This window comes from Homo sapiens, chromosome 15 (assembly GCF_000001405.40).
Source record: "Homo sapiens chromosome 15, GRCh38.p14 Primary Assembly".
Classification (NCBI taxonomy): Eukaryota; Metazoa; Chordata; class Mammalia; order Primates; family Hominidae; genus Homo; species Homo sapiens.
In genome coordinates, this window is record NC_000015.10 from 97,979,643 (window position 1) to 98,002,442 (window position 22,800).

The 22,800-nt window shown below is 43.6% G+C and overlaps 1 long non-coding RNA gene across 3 annotated transcripts in view; it reads right to left on the minus strand.

The window, feature by feature from the left end:
• Positions 1-9,105: 9,105 nt before the first annotated feature.
• LOC105371009 (uncharacterized) overlaps positions 9,106-22,800 on the minus strand; it is a 29,043-nt gene continuing 15,348 nt past the window's right edge. The window contains exons 2-3 of one of the 3 annotated variants that reach the window (XR_001751697.2): positions 15,684-16,551; positions 9,106-10,948 (exon numbers count right to left, since the gene is read on the minus strand). This is a non-coding gene — a long non-coding RNA (uncharacterized LOC105371009). Of the gene's footprint in view, positions 10,949-15,093; positions 16,552-22,800 lie in introns of those variants that run through there. The other 2 variants (XR_932697.3, XR_001751698.2) reach the window with 2 other exon arrangements.

Consider the following 22,800-nt stretch of genomic DNA (forward strand, 5'->3'; position numbering starts at 1 on the left):
CTGGGGCAACCCAGCTCCCCACATCCACAGACACCAGCTGTCGTCCTCCAAGAAGCTTCCCTCACCTGCTGCCTTCTAGCACTAAATTCCTCCTGCTGTCACTAAACAGTCCCCATGCAGAGTGTCTTCCCAGAAACGAACAAGGACATTGGGATGGGGCCAGAAACCTCAGGCCCCTTTGGCCATTGGCACTTGGATGGCATCCCCCACAGAGACCAGCAGTACAGCTGGTTCAGTTCCCATCTCCCCCAGTTCTAGTGCCCTCTCCTTCCCCATTCTGTGCGGAGGCCCAGCCTGCCCTGGGCCTGCCCACAGGGGCTGCCAGGGACCAAGGCCTGGCTCTGGATTAGAGGTCACCAGACCACAGATGATTTGCACACCATTTTTTTCAGGACTTGTATTCTGTGGAAAAGTGTCCATGGTCAGAGGCTACAGACATGTTTCTCAGGCTGTCTTTGATTTTCTGCTCTCTCTCTCTCTCTCTCTATCTCTCTCGCCTACAAATAAATGAGGACCTGATTTCCCAAGAGACCTGGGTCTCTTTCTTCTTCCTGCGGCTCTGTCAACAGTGGCCTGGGGCCTGTGAAAGCGGGCCCTTCTCCCTGTCTAATCCCAGGACCGGGTGGTATGCTCATCATATGAGGAGTAACTGCAAAGGAAGGTGACGCGAATGTGCTCAAAGGATGCCCAGAGCACTCTCGAAATGGCCCTCAGAACCTGTGGCTTCGTCTTCTTATATCTTCACTAGGGAAGAGTCTTTATCCTTTGAGGTTAAAGGATAATATTTTTGATAATACCTAAAGCTCATTCAGAAACAACCCTGCAGAGTAAAGCTGAAGGCCGGGCTGGGTGTGGCACTGATGGAACCAGGCAAAGCAGAGGTGAAAGACAGCAGCAGAGGCGAGAAACACATCCGACAGGGAGGTGAGAAACACATCTGACAGGTAATACTGAACTCATGCTTCGCCTTGTCTGGGTGTTCCCAGGCATCGTCAGCCTGTGGAGGTGAATTGGGTTCATTAAAAACAAGATCCCCATGTTGCTAATTCTTACCCCAACTTGATCTTGAAAAATCTCAGCTTCTCGCCAAGTCCATCTTCTACTCCCAAGAATTTCCTAAAAGTCTCCAGGAATAAGTCAATCTCCGCTACTCCTTAGCATCACCTCTAATGCACTGAAGTCTTCACAATCCCAGGCTAGGATTGATTTGGGGAAAGTGAAGAAGAATGATTTTTTTCATTTTATATTTTGTTTTATTTTTATTTTTTAAGACAGAGTCTCTCTCTGTCGCCCAGGCTGAAGTGCAATGGTGTGATCTTGACTCACTGCAACCTTTGCCTCCCGGGTTCAAGCAATTCTCATGCCTCAGCCTCCCTGAGTAGCTGGGATTACAGGCATGCACCAGCACGCCTGGCTGATTTTTTTTTTTTTTTTTTTTTTTTTAGTACAGACAGGGTTACACCATGTTGGCCAGGCTGGTTTTGAACTCCTGGCCTCAAGTGATCCACTGGCCTCAGCCTCCCAAAGCGTTGGGGTTACAGGAGTGAGCCACAGCACCCGGTCGATTTTATATTTTGTTTTGTAGAGGCTCCCCACAAAAAAACAGCTTCCTGTGCCCCACCCTATTACCTTGTTTTTAGAGAAACTGCTGTTTTCACCTTTTCCTTTGCAGATTTTCCTCTGGGTAAGACTCAGATGTACAATCTTAGGACTGGGCTGCTGACAAAAATCAGGTGATCCAGAGTCTCACCTCCCTTCTGAACACTAAAGCTCTGGAATTGAGCCAAGCTTAGCTTCCCTGGCATCCTCTTACCTTAGGATGGGTCTTCTGAGACCCCACAGGCCCCCAGCTGTTTTCCAGGCATCAACATACATCACTGAGCCCTGGCTCAGAGTCAAGCTGGGGCCCCCTCCATCTACACCCCAATGGCCAGAGAGTCATGGAAAAGTGACTGCAGGAGGGACCTACCACCTGCCCTCAGAGAGGCCCCTAGCTCGGACAGCTGATGGCCCCTGCTGAGTGGCCCCTGCTGAGTGGGGGGCTGGGCAGAGGAGCACCCCAGGCCATCCTTGTGTTTCTATTTGAAACACCCAGGGCCTGCGGGCCAGAGGACAGGGGGCTGATATATCTTGCTAAGGAGGAAGAGCATCTTAGCTGTGGATCACTGCATGGTGAGGACAGGTCCAGGGGAAGTCATAATGGGGGTCCCCAGGCCATTAAGGAAAAGCACAAGGTCACCTGCCCAGGTATCAACAGGGAGCAAACTGGGCACTAAATGTGCCCCTGGGCTTGCTTTGAACTTTGCCTCACTTCTCACTGCCAATTCTGTAGCCATCTGGGCTGCGGACTCCCACTTGGACAGAACAGTGTGAGGAATGCAGTCTGCTTGTAGTCAATCTGGCCAATACAATGTTTCCTGTCTCCTTATTACCTATTTGGTTGGGGTTGAGGGGTTCAATCTCTAAATGAGCTTTTCCTATAAAAAGCCTCCATGTGTGCTTAGTATGGAGACTCGGAAGCCCAGGGAATTTTTATATTTATTACAGAGAGAGGCAGGCATCCATTCTGTGTGTTTCCATTAACACAGACTGGCAATTAATGTGTTTGGTTCAAAAGACTTCAAACATTTGTACGTCCATTTGCACGTTTAAATGGCTCTGTATAACAGTCAAGCAGGTGGTTAACTATATGTATATTAAATTCATAGAGAAACTGGTAATTTTCAATTATAATTGTCAGTTCACAGTTTACATGATAAGAATTTTTTGAATAGACCCATTAGCTGATTTTAGTTAGCCAGGGTTTTTATAAATCATGGTTTATTTGCTTATTCTACTTATAAAAGAGAAATTTTCAGTATTCTCACATGAATCAATAAATATTTACTTTGGTCTTTATTCTGCTCAAATGCCAAGTTTGACAATGGATGAAATATCATTGGGCTTCCTTAAACAGCTGTTTGAATGCGGCTGTTTTATTAGTTGTTTTGTTTAGTATTATTACCCGGATAATGGTTTAAAAGTTTTATTCATTTGCTATTAATTTGTTTTTTTTATAAATAAAGTCAAAATAGGACTGAATTGCAGTTCCTTATAATTTTACAATGTATTGTACTTTCCTGGTAATATGTTTTGACAATAGAAACTTCCAAGCCAATGAAAAGCTGTCCCATTTTTCTAAATTATATCCTCTAAAGCAAAACTCCTAAATATATAGCACTAACTTGTGCATAATAAAATTTGATGATTTTGTTACTGTGGATAATATTTCTCTTTCCTAGGCAACAGAAATAATTTAAATGCCTCTCATTTGGCTTGGCTTTTACAGCACAAAAGGCAGTGTGAGACACCAGATCTCTGGAGGAGAATGCTGAACTGGTATTGAGAAGAGGAATAGCATTTTGAGAAATACCTTCAACATTCTACACCTTGTAACTCCCTCGGGTCTGTTCCTGGATTTCTGCTTTTCAAAAATGATCAAGCAGGGCCAGGCATGGTGGCTCACGCCTGTAATTCCAGCACTTTGAGAGACTGAGGCAGGTGGATCACTTGAGGTCATGAGTTCGAGACCAGTCTGGCCAACATGATGAAACCCCGTCTCTACTAAAAATACAATAGAAATTAGCTAGGCGTGGTGACAGGTGGCTGCAATCCCAGCTACTTGGGAGGCTGAGACATGAGAATCACTTGAACCTGGGAGGCAGAGGTTGCAGTGAGCCGAGATCACACCGCTGCACTCCAGCCTGGGTGACAGACTGAGACACCATCTAAAAAAAAAAAAAAAAATGTCAGGAACTTGCTGTCACCAAGGCATGTAAAGAGAGCTAGTGGAAGATTTTCAGGTAGTTTCCAAAAGCTCAGAACTCTGCCTGATCTCCGTGGAAGCCACCATATCTGTAACTGGGAGCTGTACCATCCTTGACACCCTTCCTCTTCAGTCCTCTCTGTCTTAGCCATCTGGGCATGGACTCCTTAAACGATGTAAGAAACAGAAGCCATTTGCTTTAGTCTCTCAAACCATTTCCTGTGGGTCCAGCCAGATATTTTCACACCGAAGGAAAGGCCTAAGTGACTGAACATGGCTGGCCCCCACTACCACAACTGATGCCTTTAAGACTGTCACTCAGAGGCAAGACCTGGAGAAGAATCTCTCTGTGTTACTCAGCTACAGATGAACAGATAATGAAAGACAACGTTAGAAAGAAGTATTTTATCTCAGATCTTAGGAAAATATTAGAAACCACTTAACGCCCCATCTATAAGCTACTACACATTTTGAAGAAACATAAACTTAATAATCTCATTTAAAGGTAATCATATCATGATTCTCTCCTGTTAGTGTTTCAATAAAACGCGCATGGTGAGTGTCAGAAAGCTCTCACTCTGACTTAGCCTTGATTGCCTACTCTACATATGAAGATTTAACTGATTAAAAAGGGTTCTCTCTTCATTGGAGTCTATTGATGTTATCAAATGGGACATTGCAGGAAAAACTGCAGTGTTAGTCTCAAAATAAATGTTTACAGGCAACTGAAGAACATTTCCTGGAAAGAGAGATAGGGATTTGTTATTTAACAGAGAAAAGCAGATCAAATTGGAGAATTTAAGAGGCAACAGCAAACAGAATGAGAGACTTGGCTGTAACTCTTGTCCACCCATATTATGCAACCTCAGGCATGTCATTTAACTTCTCTAAGCCTTGGTTTCCTTGTTTGAAAAATGGAAATAACGATACAATCTCTGGCTGGGCATGGTGGCTCAACCCTGTAATCCCAGCACTTTCAGAGGCTAAGGCAGATGAATCACTTGAGGTCAAGAGTTCAAGACCAGTCTGCCCAATATGGTGAAACCCTGTCTCTACTAAAACTACAAAAATTAGCCAAGAGTGGTGGTGCATGCCCAGCTACTCAAGAAGCTGAGGCAGAAGAATTACTTGAACCCGGGAGGCGGAGGTTGCAGTGAGCTGAGATTGCACCACTGCACTCCAGCCTGGGTGACAGAGCGAGACTCTGTCTCGGAAAAAAAAAAAAAAAAAAAGTACAGGCTCGATGGTTGTTTAGAGAAATAATGGAGTAACATCTGCAAAGCCTAGATCCCCTAAACCATGATGCCATAATGCGTGTTCGGTAAATGTTAGAGGAAACCTGGAAACGTTACATCACTCAACACTTCAACAATGAGATGAGTTAAATTTCATCTCAGAGAGATTTAACATCTACATCCCTTCTCTGTCCATCCCTGATCTTCCCCACTACTAAACAATTCCCAAAACTAACCTTCTCTTCTTCCCCCACAGCAGTTCGGAAGGTCCTGTATGTCTACTCCATAGGACCCTAGTGGTAAACTTCTACCAAGCAGCCACGTCAGTACTGTTCAGGAGAGAAGGTAGGGGAGAAAACGCTGGGGAAAGCTGTTTTTCTGTATTTCTATAAAAGGCTTCAGTATCCATCATTGAAGGTCAAGGCATTGACAGCAGGTGATATGCTATTCGTGCATGGAGGAAAAGAAAAAATGGCACAATGGTCACCCTACAGAAAGAAGTATTTCTGAAGGCAAAATTTGAGCCTTTTAAATGGCATTTTCATAATTACATCACTTTAAATATGATTCTGTACAGGTCAGCAAAGGCCCTACACCCCATTCTTCTTGAGCTGATTGCTAGAAAGTTCTGGGAATAAGCATCTGGGCATAAGTCAATTCTTTGCATTTTTGAGTCATGGAAAATTTACATTTCTTTTAATTTTTAAAACTATGAAGTTATTACTAATTTCAAAAATATGAATGAAATAAAAACATTCATATTTACCACCTAGTTTTTCATCATCCATATTTTGCTTAATCTAATTTAGATGTTTCTAAATATAAAAGTAAAACCTTGGCCGGGTGCAGTAGCTCACACCTGTAACTCCAGCACTTTGGGAGGCCAAGGCAGGTGGATCACTTCAGGTCAGAAGTTTGAGAACAGCCTGGTCAACATGGTGAAACCTCACCTCTACTAAAAATACAAAAATTAGCCATGTGTGGTGGCAGGCACCTGTAATCCCAGCTACTCAGGAGGCTGAGGCAGGAGAATCACTTGAATCTGGGAGGCAGAGGTTGCAGTGAGCCGAGATCACACCACTGCACTCCAGGCTGAGAGTGAGACTTCGTCTCAAAAAGAAAAAAAAAAGGAAAAAAGAAAACCTTTAGATAAAGCCAAAGATCTGGTTGTAGCTCTCTTGATTCCTTCCTCTCACATTCCTTCCCAGGGGAGACCATGGTACCCATGTCTCCCTCTTGTCTACATTTTTACAATCTTACTATGTCTCCCCCTCCAGAAACAACATAGGGTACTGATATGGTTTGCTGTGTCCCCACCCAAATCTCAATTTGAATTGTATCTCCCAGAATTCCCACATGTTGTAGGAGGGACCCAGGAGGAGATAATTGAATCATGGGGGCCAGTTTTTCCCATGTTGTTCTCATGATAGTGAAAAAGTATCATGAGATCTGATGGGTTTATCAGGGGTTTCCACTTTTGCTTCTTCCTCATTTTTCTCTTGCCACTGCCAAGTAAGAAGTGCCTTTTTATCTCCTGCCATGATTTTGAGGCCTTCCCGGCAATGTGGAACTGTAAGTCCAATTAAACCTCTTTTTCTTCCCAGTCTTGGGTATGTCTTTATCAGCAGCACAAAACCAGACTGAAACAATAAATTGGTACCAGGAGAATGGGGCGTTGCTGCAAAGATACCTGAAAACGTGGAAGCGACTTAGGAACGGAGTAATAGGCAGAGGTGGGAACAGTTTGGAGGGCTCAGGAGAAGATACAAAAAGTGTGGAACTTCCTAGAGACTTGTTGAAGGGCTTTGCGCAAAATGGTGATAGTGATATGGACAATAAGGTCCAGGCTGAGGAGGACTCAGATGGAGATGAGAAACTTGTTGGGAACTGGAGTAAAGGTGACTCTTGTTATGTTTTAACAAAGAGACTGGCAGCATTTTTTCCCTGACCTAAAGATTTGTGGAACTTTGAACTTGAGAAAGATATTTAGGATATCTGGTGGAAGAAATTTCTAAGCAGCAAAGCATTCAAGAGGTGACTTGCATACTGTTAAAGGCATTTAGTTTTATAAGGGAAGAAGAGTATGTAAGTTTGGAAAATTTGCAGCCTGACTATGCGATAGAAAAGAAAAACCCATTTTCTGGGGAGAAATTCAAGCCAGCTACAGAAATTTGAATAAGGAGAAAGGAGCCTAATATTAATCCCCAAGACCATGGAGAAAATGTCTCCAGGCCATGTCAGTGGTCTTCACAGCAGCCCCTCCCATCACAGGCCTGGAGGCCCAGGAGGAAAAAATGCTTTTCTAGGCCGAGCCCAGGATCCCTGCAGCATTTGCAGCCTAGGGACTTCATGCCCTCTGTCCCAGCCCCTCCAGCTGTGGCTGAAAGGGGCCAACATACAGCTCTGGCTATGGCTTCAGAGGGCAGAAGCCCCAAGCCTTGGCAGTTTTCATGTGGTGTTGGGCATGTGGGTGCACAGAAGTCAAGAACTGAGGTTGGGGAACCTCTGCGTAGATTTCAGAAGATGTATGGAAACATCTCGATGCCCAGGCAAAAGTTTGCTGCAGGGGTGGGGTCCTCATGGAGAACATCTGCTAGGCCACTGCAGAAGGGAAATGTGGGGTCAAAGCCCCCAAACAGAGTCCCTACTGGGGTACTACCTGTGAGAACAGGGCCACAATCCTCTAGACCCCAGAATGGTAGATCCACTGACAGCTTGCACCATGCACCTGGAAAAGCTGCAGACACTCAACGCCAGCCCATGAAAGCAGCCAGGAGAGAGGCTATACCCTGTAAAGCCACAGGGATGGAGCTGGCCATGACCTGGGAACCCACCTCTTTCATCAGCGTGACCTGGATGTGAGACCTTGAATCAAAGGATATCAATTTGGAGCTGTAGAATTTGACTGCCCCACTGGATTTCAGACTTGCATGGGCCCTGTAACCCCTTTGTTCTGGCCAATTTCTCCCATTTGGAATGGCTGTATTTATCTAATACCTGTACCCCCATTGGATCTAGGAAGTAACTAGCTTGCTTTTGATTTTACAAGCTCATAGGTGGAAGGGACTTGCCTTGTCTCAGAGGAGAGTTTGGATTGTGGACTTTCGGGTTAATGCTGAAATGAGTTAAGACTTTGAGGGACTGTTGGGAAGGCATGACTGGTTTTGAAATCATGAGGACATGAGATTTGGAGGGGCCAGGGGCAGAATGATATGGTTTGGCTGTGTCCCCACCCAAATCTCACTTTGAATTGTATCTCCCAGAATTCCCATGTGTTGCAGGAGGGACCAGGGGAGGTAACTGAATCATGGGGGCCGATCTTTCCCATGCTTCTCTCATGATAGTGAATAAGTCTCATGAGACCTGATGAGTTTATCAGGGTTTTCCACTTTTGCTTCTTCATTTTTCTCTTGCTGCTGCCATGTTAAGAAGTGCCTTTTGTCTCCTGCCATGATTCTGAGGCCTCCCCAGCCATGTGGAACTGTAAGTCCAATTAAACCTATTTTTCTTCCCAGTCTCTGGTATGTCTTTATCAGCAGGGTGAAAGCAGACTAATACAGGTACGGTCATGTGTGTGTGTGTGTATGTGTGTGTATGGGTTGATGCCATATAGAAATACCATCATACTGTTCTATACTTCTGCAAGTAACCTTTATCATTTTCTGTTGTTTTCTGAATTTATTCCTGTTGGTACAGGTAGATCAGATTCATTATTCTCATGCATTTTTGTATTTACTTGTAGGAATCTACTATGATCAATTTGAAACCTGAATTTTTGAATGCTCATTTCTTACATCCTTACCACTACTAAGTACTTCCAAAGTGTTCAATTTATGAAATGTTCTCTTATTATTTTAGTTTTCATTTCTATAATTACTAGTAAGGTGGAACAACATTTCATATATTTATTGGCCATTTGGGTTTTATTTTCTATGAAATCTCCTGTTCCTGCCCTCTGCCCCTTTTTATAATTAGTTTTTTTCTTATTGAGTCATATGATTTTTATATATTTTATATCCTAATACTCTTGTCAGTTATATGAGCTCAAATATCTTACTGGAGAAAGACTTTCAAAAGGTTTTATTTCAGAAAGATTGATCAGCTGGCATGCCCCCTTTAGCTCCTTATGTATAGGAATATTTACCACTAGCAAAATCATTTATTAATACATTGTATATTCATTCACTAATTCATTTCATAAGAATTTTTTTACTACTACATACCAAATAGGCAATCAACTGTGCCAGGCTTTGTGACAAAATAAAGATAAATAAGATGTTTACTTTCCATATACTAACAACATAGATATCTAAAATACATGATAAAACGTAATATGGGCCATAACAGAGAGTCCAACTGAGGGGGCACATGCTTTTGGACATTTCATGATAAAAATGGCATGAAACCCCAACTTTGAAAGTTGAGTAGAAGTTGGACTGCACGAATAGGGTTCATGACATGCGCCTGAAGGAGATTTCATGAGCAAATATCAATCCATTTTCAAAGCAAACAAGTTACATAATTTATCTCCTTTTAGCCTTAAGACAATTCAGCAAAGTGGTTATCATCGTCTTTTCATACATCAGAGGGCTTAGGAAACTTGGCAGAGTTTTCAAAACCAGTTAATGATGGGATTTCAGGTAAAACCCATCTTTCACTGACTTCACAGCTTTGCTCTTAACATCATGCTACACTACCTCCCGAGGCCTCGAGGGTTTGAATGAGAGGAAGAAGCAGATCATAGCAACAGGCTGTTTGTGGAGCCAAGTCACTTGCTGCCTGGGCATGCAGGAAGCTAAAATAGGAACAAGGGAGGCAGCTCAGATGGCAAGGGGCTCAAGGCCAGCTCAAAGAGTGTAGACTGTACCTGGTGGTGTACAGGGAGCTGTTCATTAGACCTCTGGAGAACAAAGGCAAACTATGTGTCAGATTAGTCATGCCAGAGTGAGGGTTTTAGCAGTATGACCTTGTAAGGAGGTAAGCCAAAAAACTAGCACAACTGTGTGTTGTTGTTGTTGTTGTTTTGCTTTAGAAGATGGAAGATGAGACAGTCAGCAGAACTCTGCAACTTCTCAATAAATATATGTTGAATGAGTATGTAAATAACGGGCAGAAAGAATAAAAATATATATACAGCATGGTAAGCAGCCCTACGAAAGTTACTTTACCAAAAGGGAAAGCAGATAGGTCACTATTGTTTTCTTTTAAACCTCTTTTCTTTCTCATGACTGTTTACCTTTGCATTGTGGAATCAAGTAAAAAGGCCATAACCTTCCTTTTCTATTCTTACACATTTGAGCTTCTTCCTGGCTGTTCTCAGTGCATTGAACAGTGTCACCCTTTACCTCCAGCAGGGACTTCCAAGCTGACACAGAAGGGACCTAACAGATTATTGAAACTGATTTACTCGTGTTGTGGAGGAGGAAAACAAGGCCTTAGAATTCAGACATTTGCCCAAGGTCACTGTGCACATTCCTCCTATCTGGCCATTTCCTACTGCTCGTATTAGAGTTTACCTTTAGTTCTTTAGAACTGAGATATACAGAACGTGCATATATTGAGAAAAACAGGCAAACATGCTTCAGTTTCTCACAGATCTTGAGCATTGACTCTTCCTAAAAGAAATAGAATACGAAATTGAGAAGTGATGGTTGTGCTACCTGAGGTAGAAAATTGGACTAATTAAGTCAAGGAGACACACAATAATCCTATTCAACACTTAGGAGGTAATAAAACCCTTGGAGTCCATTGTTTCAACTGGGTGACCTACCCAAAGACAGCCCACCCATTTACAGATGAAGCCCACAGATAATGAATGTCCCACAGATAGTGAATGTGGAGCCAAAGTTTACACCCAATTCTTGTGATTCCAATTAAGGTCTTCCCAACGTTCTTCAGGTGAGAAGAACTAGACAGACAGGGAGGAGAAAGGAACATGTGTCAGTCACCATCAATGAATACAACGTTCATTCATTCATTTATTTATTCATTCTATTTGTTGTATTTAGAGCTTACTCTGTGCTAGATACCACACCAAACATGTAGAGGTGTCTAACCTCAAGAAGCATGTAGAGGTGCCTAATCTCACGAATGCTTTGACGCATTTTCTACAGTCTTTTTATATAAACAACGGATAAGACTCTTGACCATCTCTTCTATCTTCCAAGTTAAAATGAGACTAAATTGTCCTCTTGAAAATTCATCCTCGTATCTCAAGAACACCAAAATACATTTCATAAGGCCTATTTAATGTTTGGGATGTGTCAGCACCCAGGGCTGTTTCTCAACCATCTATGCACAGCGTTTCTTATTACTCCATTAGGGCCACTACCTCCCAGTCAAATCATCCATATAGCCAATCATCTAGCAACGTTGAGGGTCTGTTAGGAAAACATGCAAATATACATGAAGAAGTAAAACATAATACTTTTTAAAACTGTTATCACCCCAGTAGGCATTCTAGCTATTCCTCCAACATACTTGATCATAAGAATTCTCCAGGATATGTGTTAAAAGTAGAGATTCTGGCTGGGCTCAGTGGCTCACACCTGTAATCCCAACACTTTGGGAGGCCAAGGCAGGCGGATCACCTGAGGTCAGGAGTTCGAGACCAGCCTGGCCAACATGGTGAAACCACATCTCTACTAAAAATACAAAAATTAGCCGGGTGTGGTGGCAGGCACCTGTAATCCCAGCTACTTGGGAGGCTGAGGCAGGGGAATCACTCGAACCCAGGAGGCAGAGGTTGCAGTGAGCCGAAATCGTGCCATCACACTCCAGCCTGGGTGAACAAGAGCGAGACTTCGTCTCAAAAAAAAAAAAAAAAAAAAAAAGTAGAGATTCCTGGACACTGCAGGAATCTTCTTTTATTTCAGTCTGTCACCCAGGATAGCATGCACTGGTTCAGTCTTGGCTCACTGCAAGCTCTGCCTCACCACTTCAAGCGATTCTTGTGCCTCAGCCTTCCAAGTAGCTAGAATGACAGGTGTGCACCACCACACCCGGCTAATTTTTGTATTTTAGTAGAGATGGGGTTTCACCATGTTGGCCAGGCTGGTCTCAAACCCCTGACCTCAAGTGATCTGCCCGCCTTGACCTCCCAAACTGCTGGGATTAAAGGCATGAGCCACCGTGCCCAGCCAGCGTGTGAATTTTCTGATTCAGACCTGCCAAGGGAGGAAGTCTCTGGCAAGTCCAGAAATGCTTGGAAAATCTGCCTTAGAGCATGTTGACCATTATAGAAATCAGAAAGGAGAACTCCAGATATTCAACTCAGGATCCTCAATTTTGAGGAATATTTGGAAGCAGGAAACACCAGAAAGTGTTTGAAGTTTATAGGTCAGGTGGATGATGGGCCTGGACAGGTCGTCAAGGCAAGACAGGGTGAGAGATGTGGAGAGGGTCTTGTGACTGAGGCAGGGAACGGGAAGGGCAAAGGAGAACTCAATGAGGTTGTGGATGTCCTCATTGATTCACTGAATGTTCTCACGGATTCAGGAAGCTGGGAGGCTGGGCAAGAGGTCAATAGCTCTGGAGCAAGCAGTTCAGTTGACCCACAGCCACTTTCCTCATATACATATTTACTGACCTAATGAAAAGTCAGATAGCCCAAGCCCACCTGACCTTGAGCTGCTCATAAACAGAAGGGCTGGCTTCATGCCCACTGTTGGCACCACCAGGAACAAAGTCAGCCCTTGGTAATACAGGGAAGGCCATTCAGAGCTTGTCAGGAACCCTAATCTCCTTTGTGGCCCTCTCACAAGCCTGTTCCTTTTGTGGCAACTGTGAGGAAAACTGGTTGGAAGGTGTTTACAAAGGCTCTTGTCAATAATTCCAAGGCTCCCTTGCCTGCTTCTTGCACCTATAAAGATATCAGAAATCCTCATTGTCTTAGCCCTGAAACAGCCTTTTTGGTTTTTAAAGGAACCCTCAATGCTTTGGTTTGATATTATCCAATAGTCACAGCTGACCTAGGAATTCTGGAGCTTTGCAACCTTGAGAAATCTATAAAAATGGAGTACATCTCATTTTAAGAACAAAAGCAGGGGATAATTAAAAAAAAAAAAAAGCACGTGCATGCCTGTAAGACTGCAAAGTAAGATCTCAGAATACGAAAGAAGGAAGTAAATCTCTTCATGGATTTCCAAAATATTCCCAATGTATTTATATCCCTTCACCTTAAATCATCTGAAAATTACTTTCACATTAAGAATCTCCCTTAAAAATGAGTTAGAACTGATTATTCCCAATTTAAGAAGATGAAACTGCAGTTCCGAGTGGTTATGTAACCAGAGTGGGAGATAGGGTGATTTAAGCTCAAAGAAAGAGGTACTCCATGTGACATAACTTGCAGAATTTCCCAGAAATACTGAGAGTGTTCTGATAACTGCTGTCTCCAACTTGATCATAAAAGTAAGCAACTTCTCTTATGTATCTTTGCCTGCCTAACAGTGAGCTCAGAAAATGGTGACTGAATGAATGATTTTAATGATTGTATCCTTAGTCAATCTGTGAAAGTCATTCCTTTGTTTTGAGGCTTTTGGTCAATCCTCCCAGACAATCTCTTCTCAGGGCTTCACTCTCACCAAATCATTTGCTACCGGAGAGGAATCCAATGAGCCCTCTTCTCTCTTTCCCACATGTGACTCAATCCAGCAATATCTAATCTTTCAAAATACCTCACATTGCATCTCAGAGGCATGTCCTTTGAGATATGAATAGTCAACTAAGTCAGGCCACCAGAATGTTGTAGTACCATGGCATTGACAAGCAGGCAATTAGATGAGTCACTGGGCCATTATTGGGTGACATCCGAGCTCCTTTGCCCTATCATCGGGTCCCAGATGGGTGGTAGTTATGCATAACTGAAAGTCAGCTGCAAGATAACTTCTTGGCTTGCCTGTAAGAAATCCCTTCCTGTTGGATGGGTCCATGAAGCTGCTTCTGTATGTGAAAGCTGGCGAAGGAGAGAGATATGATCTCAGTTCCTTCCTCCAGGGGCTGGAGGACACCATTCAGAGAATCAGGCAAACTGCTCCTGAAAGAGCTTCCCTTATGTGGGACTCTGCAGCTGCAGTCCAACCCCTGGGCTTATTTCTGTCAGTTTCCAGCTTTGTCACTTTTAGTGAGTCATAACAATTTACTACACCTCAGTTTCCACATGTACTTAAGAAAAAAAAAAAGAGGGACTATAATGCCACTTTTATCATTGGGTTGCCATGAAATTTAAAGGAAAGAGTTTGTGTGGAAAGGCTGATAACCTAGTGCTTGACACATTATATGCTTTTGACAAATGTCACTTATTTATTATGGAATTTTTCAAATTTAATGGATTGTCTGGTAAAGATGTGCCACTTAGGCCGGGTGCAGTGGCTCACACCTATAATCCCAGCACTTTGGAAGGCCAAGGCTGGCAGATCACTAGAGGCCAGGAGTTCAAAAGCAGCCTGGCCAACAGGGCAAAACCCCGTCTCTCCTAAAAATACAAAACTTATCTGGGTGTGGTGGTGCACACCTGTAATCCCAGCTACTTGGGAAGCTGAGGCAGGAGAATTGCTTGAACCCGGGAGGCAGAGGTTGCAGTGAGCTGAGATTGCACCACTGCACTCCAGCCTGAGCAACAGAGCAAGACTCTGTCTCAGAAAAAAAAAAAAAAATCTGCTATGTACCACTTAGACAACATTACGTAGTATATATGAGACATTTTTGCTCTTTCCAGGCTCATAGAACATGAACTGTAGGAGTAACCTCAGAGAACCCCCACAGAGCACTTCTTCCCTAAGAGGAAGCAGAGGTCCAGAGGGGTGGCAGTGTCCAAGTCACATCAGTGACACACCAGGATTAGCATTTGGCTCTCCTCATACCTCATCCCCATTTGTTCTACTGCACCATCTTCTGCGCTAATGGTTCACACTATTTAGTTTCTAAGTAAATACCTCTTTGGAACCTAAAAACTTTGTTGCTAGCAATGAGAACTGTCAAAGAATAATTTCTTACATGCTCTTACTCTTACAAATCTAAGAACTAAACTCTTTAAGAGTTTTAGCATAGATTTCTGATAGGCAAATCATAAAAAATCATAAAGTGGGGGGGGGGGCATTCCAGGATTGTTTGAGGATAGAGAATGCACACATATCTTAACTTTCCATTGAGACATATTGTTTAATCATATTTTAATCCAATATTTCAAACCAAGGAGATTTATGACTTGATGACATTGTTGGGGGTGTGAGGGGGGTGGTGATTACTCTGTAAAAATGCTTCACTGAGACAGGTGTGAGCATTAGAAACTCAAGATGTCACGCTGCCTTCTCTCATACTGCAGCATGACCTGAAGTGCAACTGTCCTTCAGAGAGGAACCTCAGCTGGAGACCTCAGGGCTTGCAGGTCCTCTGCCCTTGGATGGAGATAGTGCCTCCATGGGGATAAGGATTATGCCTGGCTTTTCTACTACTGCATTTCCACAGCCTAAAGCAGTGTTTTCCGATAGTGAGTGGTCAAAAGTAATTGCTGCTGTTGTTGCTGAGAGACAAGTTTTAGAATAGAAGACAATTATTAAACGTTTGGTCTCATCATAGAACTCAATAGGTCAACAAGAACAAAAACAGCAACAGCAAAACAAACAGAAGAAAACTTGGCTCACCAACTCTGGACTGTGTCCTCCATTCTCCAGGCTGCTGAGTTTGTCCTCCTGCCTTGGCAGATCCAGGTAGCATAATTGTTTGGGTGTGTCACTCCAGCCTGTTTCTCGGTGTCACGCTATCTTCTAGGAATTCACACAATGAACAGGTTTTGGAAGAACACCAGCTTGTTCTCAGACTTCCTTTTCTCTTGTTGTTTTTCAGAATTCAGGTCAGTTTCTATCTCCACATCTTCCTATCACCTGTTACTGGATTTCAGCTTTGGTTTTCTCCATAGGACACAGCACAGACATTGTCATTGGGTCACCATCTGATTTAAATCACTTCTTGTCTCGTTGTGAAAGGTGATCAGTTTGCCTTACACAACAGAAGGGATTGCTGTGGAGTCAAGAAACCTGAGCACATGTCCCTTTGGGAAAGGGGTTAAGTCTTCAAAAAGGAAAACGAGGGAAGAGAACTCAATGGCAGGCAGTAGCACATTGTTTACATGAGACATGGATTCCACTTGTTAAAAAATCTGTCTGTTGGTGTCACAGCGATTTTGTCTTTATGTTCACGGAGAGAACTGATCTTGTGGTCAAGATGACTGGGAAAAAAGCCTCTCAGCTTCAGTCTTCAGGTGGGATGGGGAACAAGGTGTGGAAGAAATTAATGGGAATTTCTAGATACTTAAAAGGTGGCCTTGTTCTCAAGCTTCCTGATAATGGTGTTTTGGTTTCATTATCTCCCAGCTCACTGCTTCCAGCTCACCCTTTCTGACCGCAGCCTGAATGTGTTGGAACAAAGTTATTCTCATGGCTTCTGGAGCCAAGTTCCTCATTCAAAAATATGTATTACGTGTCTTGTGTCTGCCAGGTACTGTTCTAGTTGCTGCAGGGACCAAAAAACCATGGAGCTTTCAGCCTCTTGGGGAAAAGACAGACAATAAAGAGATGCACAAACAAACAAATATTGCAAGTAGTGCCTGACACGATGAAGAACATACACAAGGAAAGGGGAAGGGAGTGGCAGGTTAAGGGTGGTCTCCCTTGAAGAGGACCAGGGAAGGCCTTGTCAAAGGACAGCATGTGAGCTGAGATATGGATGATGTCAAGAAGCCGGCCACCAGAGGGCCAGAGAGACAGTCTTCCCGGCAAAAAGCAGGTGCAAAGATTCAAGATGCAAAAGAGCTTGACAGGGTGCACTGGACAACAGGAAATGAGGAGGAGAGGCAAGGGGATGAGCCTGAAGAGAAGCAAGGAGCCCATTCATCAGCCAGCTGGGCCCTGCACAGAAGGAGGGCCTGATGTTCCTTTAACTCAGACCCGTCCCTGAAAATTCTATCTGAGAAGACGGCCCCTCACATGTAAGCATGTCATAAAAGATGACTGGCTGGTGAGGTCTTAATGAGAAAGAGAGAGACAGAGAGAGAAAATAAAGTCTAGAAATTTCTTAGTGTTGTTTTGTTGTTTATAGAAATTAAAAATTGTTTGTGGCTGGGTGTGGTGGCTGACTCCTGTAATCCCAACACTTTGGGAGGCTGAGGCGGGTGGATCACCTGAGCTCCGGAGTTCGAGACCAGCTTGGCCAACATGGTGAAACCCCATCTCTACTAAAAATACAGAAGTTAACTGGGCATGATGGCATGCACCTGTAGTCCCAGCTACTCGGGAGGCTGAGACAGCGAATTGCTTTGATACTTGGCTTGGTGGACTTGTTACTTTGCAAATAATTAAATAACTTTCATTGTTTATATAACATGCAGAAAATAAAGAAAGATGGAAAAATCAACAACCCTACACTCAGAGATAAATTGCCATATTCATATTTTGTTTGTTTGTTTAAACATCATTGAGATCCCCATGTGATCTCAGTCATGTAACCTGCCTCTTTCAATCACTATGCTGGAATCTGGAAGGTTCTTCATCAACACGATCTTTATGGCAATATAACAGTTCAGGCTATGAATGGAGAATAACGAATTTCACTAGCTCCCTTGGGGTGGACATTCCAATTATATCCAGTTTTCTTATCATAGACCATTTGCTTTTTTAACTTCATATTACGAGCCTGGGGAAAGATATGAAAGAGTAGATATGTATGTAGATGTGAGATCATGTATTTAAGATTCCAGGATGAGCTCCACCATCCCCCACCAAGCAACAGGCATCTCTTGGTCCGGGCTGCCACTCCGCAAGAGCTGCCTTCATGAAAGGCCATCCCTGAGATGAAGCCAAGGACCACTGACCTGACCGATAATGGAATTCCCAGACTTCTAATGGGATAGGGAGAGTGAGTAGGAAAAGGGAATCCAGAGTGAGGTTGCCGACTCCACGTCTGCACAGGTGGCCTGTGTGTCCTGATTGAGCATTTCTTTCTCCAAGACTGGAGTATGCAGATAGCCCACCTCTCCTCTGCACTGTGGCTCGACATCTGGGACCTGCAGTGTTGCCCACCACTCTCTTATTTGATATCAAAATGCACTCAAGCTTGGTTCTATAAACGTGGAGTTTCACAAGAGCTAAAAGTAAAAAAAATCAATCTGTAGAATGGCTGCTGTCAAGGTTGGGCAGAAGGTTGATTTAGTCTAACAGCACACTCTCTTCCCTCCCACCTCTGTCTGGCCCTCTCTCCATGCCAGAGAAAGAAAGGAGGACTGTAAGATTCTCTGCTCCACTTTCAGCTCCAGACAGGGTGTACTACTATGATGATATTGGTCACACTGTACACCTGCACCTATGTTGTGTATCTATGGCTTGGGGAGTAGAGTTGCTATGTTCCTCTTTACTTCCCTAGTGCTTCCCTAGTACTTCCTTAGCACATTTCTGGGTCCAGAGCACGTTCGCAAAAAATCTTTGCTCATCTTTATTTGCAAAGGGGAAAAGAATTAAAGCTGATTTTCAAAAAATGAACGCCGTGTAAATAAAGTGAGTGCTATGGCCTTTAGAGGTTACACAATTCCTGCAGGCCCATTGACATTGTTCACAAACAATTTTTCCAAACCATCTCTTGGAATTATCTTCAGAGGCAGACTCTAAACAAAACATGAAAACAAATGTGATGACTCTCTCAGTGGAACCTCCTTTTTGATGATTGCAGAATAACTCATTTGATCCCTCATTCTTCACCCGATTTGGCTCTGCACAATGACCAGTGCTGTCTAAAAGCTAACGTTTAAGAATTTGTTGGCATATAAGTTATTCTGCTGCAGGGCTTTCCGGGAATTCCCAAAGTGTTTGGAGCACTAGTGGCAGGGCTGGGTTAATGGGAAATTTCCCATCCAATCTGCCAGGAAGGAGTCCAGGTCCATATGCCTGGAACAGGTTGGGAGGCTTGGTGATCATGTCAGTCTCAAAACACACACGATTTGCCTGCAACTTAAAAACCACTTTCTACCATTCCCCAAATAATTCCCCAACTTCCACCTAACATATTCAGTCTATAAAGTATAATAGAATTTAATGGGCAACTGCTCTGTCTTTGTTGAGCTAAACAAGACAGCACAATTACACTCAGTCCCCAGGGCCATACCATGAAAGGTAGAGACACAGACTTATTGCTCTTCATGAAACCCAAGGGAGGTGTCTGGGAAACTCCCTTGGGAAAGAATGACTTTGACAGGAAGTGGCTTCTTGGTATTTTATGGCAGAGAATGCCTCTCTAATTTAAAGCTTCTTTTCTTTTGATAAAAACAAAGCCTTTAACAAAATTGTAGGAGGAATATTTCATGGGCTGTTAAGGACTAAGTTGTGCCCGCCTCCCCATACTTTTATGTGGAAGTCCTAACCCCCAGTGCCTCAGATTGTGACTGTGTTTGGAGGTAAGGTCTTTAAAGTTAAAATGAGGTCTTTTTATGTATTTATTTATTTTATTTATTTATTTATTTATTTTTGAGACAGAGTCTCGCTCTGTTGCCCAGGCTGCAATGCAGTGGTGTGATCTCGGCTCACTGCAACCTCTGCCTCCTGGGTTCAAGCAATTCTCATGCCTCAGCCTCCTGAATAGCTGGGATTACAGGTGTCCACCACCTCTTCTGGCTAATTTTTGTATTTTCAGTAGAGACAGGGTCTCACCATATTGGCCAGGCTGGTCTCAAACTCCTGACCTCAAGTGATCTGCCCGCCTCGGCCTCCCAAAGTGCTGAGATTACATAAAATGAGGTCTTTAGTGGGGGCTCTAATCCCACATAATTGGTGTTCTTATAAGAAGAGGAGATTTGGACACAGACATGCACCAAGGAAAGACATGTAGAAGACCCCCACTTGCAAGCCAAGGAGACAGGCCTCAGGAGAACCCACCCTGCTGACACCTTGATCTCAGCCTTCCAGCCTCCAGAGCTGTGAATAAATAAACTTCTGTTGTTTCAGCCACCCATTCTGTGGTACTTTGTGATGGAAGCCCTAGAAAACTAATATACCACTTCTTCTAAATGGCATGTTTGGGTGATAAAAAATTCAGAAGTTCTTTTTTCCTCAATGGAAGCTAAAATAGAAGACAGCCAGCCAGGCTGGGGGTGTTGGCTCATGCCGTAATCCCAGCACTTTGGGAGGCCGAGGTGGGCAGATCACGATGTCAGGAGATCAAGACCATCCTGGCCAACATGGTGAAACTCTGTCTCTACTAAAATACAAAAAATTAGCCAGGCGTGGTAGCAGGTGCCTGTAGTCCCAGCTACTCAGGAGGCTGAGGCAGGGGAATCGCTTGAACCCGGGTGGCGGAGGTTGCAGTGGGCCGAGATTGCACCACTGCACTCCATCCAGCCTGGAGACAGAGTAAGACTCCGTCTCACAAAAAAAAAAAAAAAAAAAAAAAAAGCCATAAGCATTTTCCAGGTTGACTCCAATTTGCCCCCTAGTTTTGAAGGAAACATTCTGTTTTGAAGTGACCATGGTCAACAGACAAACCTGGCACAGAGAGAGGCCGGGAGCTCCCATGTGCTAGCATGGCTGGACCCAACTCCACAGATGCATGTATGCCTGCAGTTGTGGATTTTAAAATCCACATGGGATCCCATCCTTCACCTGAATGTAGGAGGAAGAACACAGCACCTTCCTTTGGCTGTTCCTGGAATACCCAGTAGGAGCATGAGGAAAGTCTTAGAATCAATGATACAAACCAGTCATAGATTGCTTTATTCCAGCCAATTCCCCTATTACAGAGCATGGGAATATTACTTGGACTCTGTTTCTGGAACTCAATAAAGTGGTAAAATCCATTATCTTTATTCAAATACAAAAGAAACCTTGAGATTTTATGACTCCATAACGACTTTTACGACTCCTGGCATTTGAGTCACTTTGGAAATCCGTCTCATGCTCCAGCCTCCCTGACCTGTGGCAGGCTCTACCACATTTCTACAACCAAGCGGCCAGTAAAGATGAAAGCAATTCTTTTGTCTGAGGAGCTGGCCATGGGAGCGTATCAACCACAGACATGACCTCAAGTAGGAGCGGGGTTGCCAAAGAATTACAAATGTGTGTGTGGTGTGTGTGGTATGCGGGTGTGGTGTGGTATGTGTGTGAGAGGGTATGTGAGTGGTATAGGGTGTATGTGATATGTGTGTGCGTTGTGTGTGTGGTATAGTGTGTGTGGCTTGTATGAATAGTATGTGTGTAGAGTGTGGGTGTGTGATTATGTGGGGGACTGAGTGGGTGTGTGGTGTGTGTGAGACTGATGTGTGTGGTGTGTGTCATGTATGGTGTAGGGTGTGTGTAGTGTACATTAGGTGTGTGAGTGGTGTAGGTGATGTGTGTGTGTGGTGGAGGATGGGTGTGGTGTGTGTGGTGTATGTATGTGAGGTGTGGGCGTGTGGTATGTATGTGTGTGTGGTGTATATGGAGTGCGTGTATGTATGGTATGTGGTGTGTGGTGTGTGTGTGCGGTGTATGTGTGTGTGATGTATGTGTGCTGAGTGTGTGGTGTGTATATTGTGCACACATTCACATGTGCATAATATGTGACTCACTTATATGTGAGTCAGGAGGACACAGGCATGGTTTTCTTGCCTATATACACCACATACACCATATACCTATATACCTATACACATGTGGTGTATATAGAAGGGAAGTGTATGTGCTGTGTGTGCTGTGCATACTGTGGGTGGTGTAGTGATATATGCATATGTGGTGTGTGTGGAGTATATTGGGTGTGTGATGTGTATGGTATATATTGGGTGTGTGTGGCATATGCTGTATGTGGTATGTGTGGTGTGTGTAGTGTATATGGGTATTGTGTGTAGCATACATGGTGTATGTGATGTATGTGTATGTGGCATGTGTGGTGTATATTGGGTGTGTGACATGTTATGTATGTGTATGTAGTATGTGTGATATGTGGTGTGTATGGTGTACAATGGGTGTGTGTGATATGTGTTGTGTATGTAACGTGTGTAGGTAACGTGTGTACATGGTGTTTGTATATGTGGTTTGTATGTGGTGTGTGTAGTGTATATTAGGAGTGTGTGTGTCGTGTGGTGCATGTGATGTGTGTGTGCTGTGTGGGGTATGTGGTGTGTGGTATATGTAACATGTGTGGTGTATGTGATATGTGTGGTGTATATTGGGTGTGTGTGGCATGTGTGGTATACGTAATGTGTGTGTATGATGTGGCGTACATTGGGTGTGTGTGTGATGTGTGGTGTACGTAACATGTGTGGTGTATGCAATGTGTGGTATATGTGTAGTGTATGTAATGTGTGTATGTGTGTATATGTGGTGTGTGTGGTGCATATTGGGGTATGCGTGGCATGCAGTACGTGTTACATGTCTGATGTATGAGGTGTGTGTGGTACGTGTGTTATATGCAACATGTGTGGTGTAGGCAATGTGTGATTATGTGTGTGGCATGTGTGGTGTATGCAACGTGTGTGGTGTATGCAATGTGTGTGTATGTGATGTGTGTGGTATATATTTGGTGTGTGTGTGGTGTGTGGTGTATGTAATGTGTGGTGTATATGATGTGTGTGTATGTGGTGTGTGTGGTATACATTGGATGTGTGTGGTGTGTGGTGTATGTAATGTGTAGTGTATGCAATGTGTATGTATGTGGTGGGTTTGGTGTACATTGGGTGTATGTGTGGTGTTTGTGGTGTGTGTGGTGTGTGGTGCATGCAACGTGTGGTGTATGCAATGTCTGTGT